This window comes from Homo sapiens, chromosome 1 (assembly GCF_000001405.40).
Source record: "Homo sapiens chromosome 1, GRCh38.p14 Primary Assembly".
In the NCBI taxonomy this organism is placed as follows: domain Eukaryota; kingdom Metazoa; phylum Chordata; class Mammalia; order Primates; family Hominidae; genus Homo; species Homo sapiens.
The window spans coordinates 246536977-246540560 of record NC_000001.11 but is presented as its reverse complement, the minus strand read 5'-3'; the positions used below and the strand labels follow the sequence as shown (position 1 = coordinate 246540560).

The window sequence follows — 3584 nt, the reverse complement described above, 5'->3', positions numbered from 1 at the left end:
GATTTTGTGGTTTCTTTTGGTCTCTAAATACCTAATGAAACATTAAACTGACCCTAATTTACTCCTTTTTAGTTCTGTCATGTAGCGTCAATATAGTTTTGGTGAATAATTCAGTCTGTATTACTGAAAAGTCTGCACATTTGTTCTATCAAGAAAATTCATCTGAAGTTGGATATGAACCTAAATGGAATTTATGTGAACCTAAATGGAATTAAGAATATTTTCTTGGCCAGGCACAGCGGCTCACGCCTGTAATCCCAGCACTTTGGGAGGCCAAGGCGGGCGGATCACGAAGTCAGGAGTTCGAGACCAGCCTGGCCAACACGGTGAAACCCCATCTCTACTAAAAGTACAAAAATTAGCCTGGTGTGGTGGTGGGCACCTGTAATCCCAGTTACTCTGGAGGCTGAGGCAGGAGAATCGCTTGGACCTGGGAGGCAGAGGTTGCAGTGAGCCGAGATCATACCACTGCACTCCAGCCTGGGTGACAGAGCAAGACTCAGTCTCGGAAAAAAAAAAAAAAAAAAAAGAATGTTTTCTTGCCAGGAATGGTGGTGTGCACCTGTAGTCCCAGCTACTCAGGAGGTGGAGGAGGGAGGACAACTGAGCCCATGGGTCTAGCCTGGGGGCAACATGGTGAAACCCCCATTTCTAAAAATATTTTATAAAACAGCTGGGCATGGTGGCAGGTTCCTGTAGTCCCAGCAACTTCGGAGGCTGAGGTGAGAGGATCACTTCAGCCCAAGAGTTCGAGGCTGCAGGGAGCTATTATTTATTGTACCTGTGAAGAACCCCCTGCATTGCAGCCTGGGTAACAAAGCAAGACCCATCAAACAAAAAAAAAGTTCCTAGGGTGGGCCAGGCATGGTGGCGCGCGCCTGTAACCCCAGCACTTTGGGAGGCCGAGGCGGGCAGATCACCTGAGGTCAGAAGTTCGAGACCAGCCTGTCCAACACGGCGAAACCCCATCTTTACTAAAAATACAAAAAATTACCCAGGCATGGTGGTGCATGCCTGTAATCCCAGCTACTTGGAAGGTTGAGGCAGGAGGGTCGCTTGATGCCAGGAGGCGGAAGTTGCAGTGAGCAGTGATCGTGCCACTGCACTCCAGCCTGGGTAACAGAGTGAGACTGTCTCAAAAAAAAAAAAAAAAGGAACTAGAGTGTAAGAATGAAGTCAGCTGAGGAGTATTTTTAAATACAGCTCAGAGGGATCAACATGGTTGTAGGAAAAGGGATGGGGTCCTAAGACTGGTAAAGCACATTTTGCTCTTAGCTTAGATGAAAGAAATTGACTACACGTGTTCTTTTTAGATAAATTAATGACCTACAGGTGCCATATTCTCTCAGAAAACACAAGCAGTGTTACTTGAGACAGAATAGAAGAGGAGCTGAGAAGGACGAGGAGTCGTGGTAACTGCTGTGGACAATCGGAATTAAGAAGGGATACTATGGAGGGCCTTTAACAGTGGCTTCAGTATTCTCTACTATTGTATGATTTTCAACAGTAGGACTAGAGTAATGGGGACTGCGGATGATTAGATTAATAAAAGAGGTGCGTTAAGGGAATGCCCATTCTGTTGACATACAGACCTCCAACAGGCAATTTTGGCTCAAAGACTCCCTGTGGCCTGGCTGAATTTTGCTACAGTCCAGTCCTACCCAACCCTCCTTCCTTCCCTCTCTCCTTCCATAGTCAGACCTGCAATCAGTCTGAAGATTTGTCCTGCCTTCTGTTCCTTCTCTAATAAACCTCTTTCACATGTAGTCCTTGACATCTACTTTTCTGTAGACTTGAACTAACACAGGAGTCAAAGAATTTGAAAGTCCCAGGAAGAAAGTGGTTGAAACAGTGAAGCAAGTGCTAGAAAGCTTAGTTTTAAATCGTGAATGCTGGCATTAAGGACACAAAGCACGGAATGATTCCTGGTGATGACAAGGCCCAGCAACAAGTAATTGAGGATTAAGCACTTACAAAAATAATTTACCAAAGGGCCTATTCTTTTTGCTGATGGATGAGGATAATGGACAGTTCCTTTGGATCCCCAAACCTGATGAATTTAGTATACTGTTCAAGTAGACCACTGACAAAGCCTGTTCTCTCTGAAGAAAATTTTTCAGACTGGGAACAGCGGTTTACGCCTGTAATCCCAACAATTCAGGAAGCCAAGGCGGGAACATTGCTTGAGCCCAGGAGTTGGAGACCAGCCTGGGCAACATAGTGGTGAAGTGGCATCGTTCATCTGGGGTAAAACCCAAGGTTCCTTGTCCCATGCCAAGGAAATCAAGGACAGACACACAAGGAGAGAGGTTAAAAATGGAGGTTTAATAGGTGAAAGAAAGAGAAAAGCTCTCTCCTGAAGAGAGAGGAGGTCCCAAGCAGGTCTTCTGGTCTGCAGTGAAGTGCAGGAGGTTTTATAGATGTGCTTGAGGAGGTGGTGTCTAATTTACATAGGGAATGAAAGATTGGTTGGACAAGGTGTGCCGTTTACATAGCATTCAAAGAACTGGTTAGGACTAGGTGTGCTGTTTGCATAGTGCACAAAGAAGCTGGCCGCCCCACCCTAATCTTTTATTATTCAGATGGATTCTCTACCTGGCCGGTGCCATGTTGCCTGCTTTTTTTACTGTACACATGGTGACAAAAGGGAAGATGGAGCCTCCATGTTGAACATGCCTGGCCCCCGGTAGCTTTCTTCTATCAGCACAGGTGCCGGCATCCCCCCGTGCAAGCTTCCAACTTGCTTACCTATGTTTGCAGCTCAATTTTTCAGGCTGCTCTTTGTTAGAAAAGAAATGATTTGGGGGCTGCGTTTTCTTAAAAGGGAAACCTTGCTGAGGACTTATTCACCCTCACTGTCTGCCAAATAATTTCTTTCTAGCTCCTGTATCATATTTCCCCTCTCAGGAGTGGTAACCCTAACTCCTGTTAGGGGGTATTGGGCAATGACTTTCTGGCTACTTCCTGCTGAAGAGAGGGGCATTGAGTGGGGCACAGCAGCTAGAGCTCCTCCTGGAGTCGATCTAAGGGTCCTTGGAAGAATGGCATGTCCATGCGAGGTTCCATCCGCGGCGCCATTTGGAGTTTAATAGCTTCTAGGTGAGAGGAAATAATTCAAGTTACCGTATTGCGTATACAAGGTCCAAATATTAGTACAAAACACACGAGCAAGAGCGGGCTTAAAAAAGGAACTAATCAATTCCATAAAGAAGACTGGAATCCACGTTTTCTCTTAACTTGTCAATGATTCTAATTTGGTCTTTAAGCACCTGTAGGTTCTCTTCTACTTGACTAGAGATGCTGATCCAGAAGCAGCATGTTTCATTTAAAAGTGCACAGGTAGGCCGGGCACGGTGGCTCACGCCTGTAATCCCAGCACTCTGGGAGAGCGAGGCGGCCAGATCACGAGGTCAAGAGATCTAGACCATCCTGGCCAACATGGTGAAACCTCATCTCTACTAAAAACACAAAAATTAGCCAGGCGTGGTGGGGCATGCCTGTAGTCCCAGCTACTTGGGAGGCTGAGGCAGGAGACTTGCTTGAACCCGGGAGGCGGAGGTTGCAGTGAGCCAAGATTGTGTGCC

At 46.3% G+C, this 3584-nt stretch overlaps 2 annotated features.

Moving 5' to 3' along the window:
* Positions 1736–2236: an enhancer, noted in NCBI's record as "H3K4me1 hESC enhancer chr1:246701627-246702127 (GRCh37/hg19 assembly coordinates)". NCBI's record gives its function as "activates a minimal SCP1, AML or CMV promoter by ChIP-STARR-seq in naive and primed H9 embryonic stem cells {active_cell/tissue: H9 hESC(naive and primed)}" and the evidence as "EXISTENCE:reporter gene assay evidence [ECO:0000049][PMID:30033119]".
* Positions 1768–1968: a silencer, noted in NCBI's record as "peak815 fragment used in MPRA reporter construct". NCBI's record gives its function as "represses an SCP1 promoter by STARR-seq MPRAs in K562 erythroleukemia cells {active_cell/tissue: K562}" and the evidence as "EXISTENCE:reporter gene assay evidence [ECO:0000049][PMID:32103011]".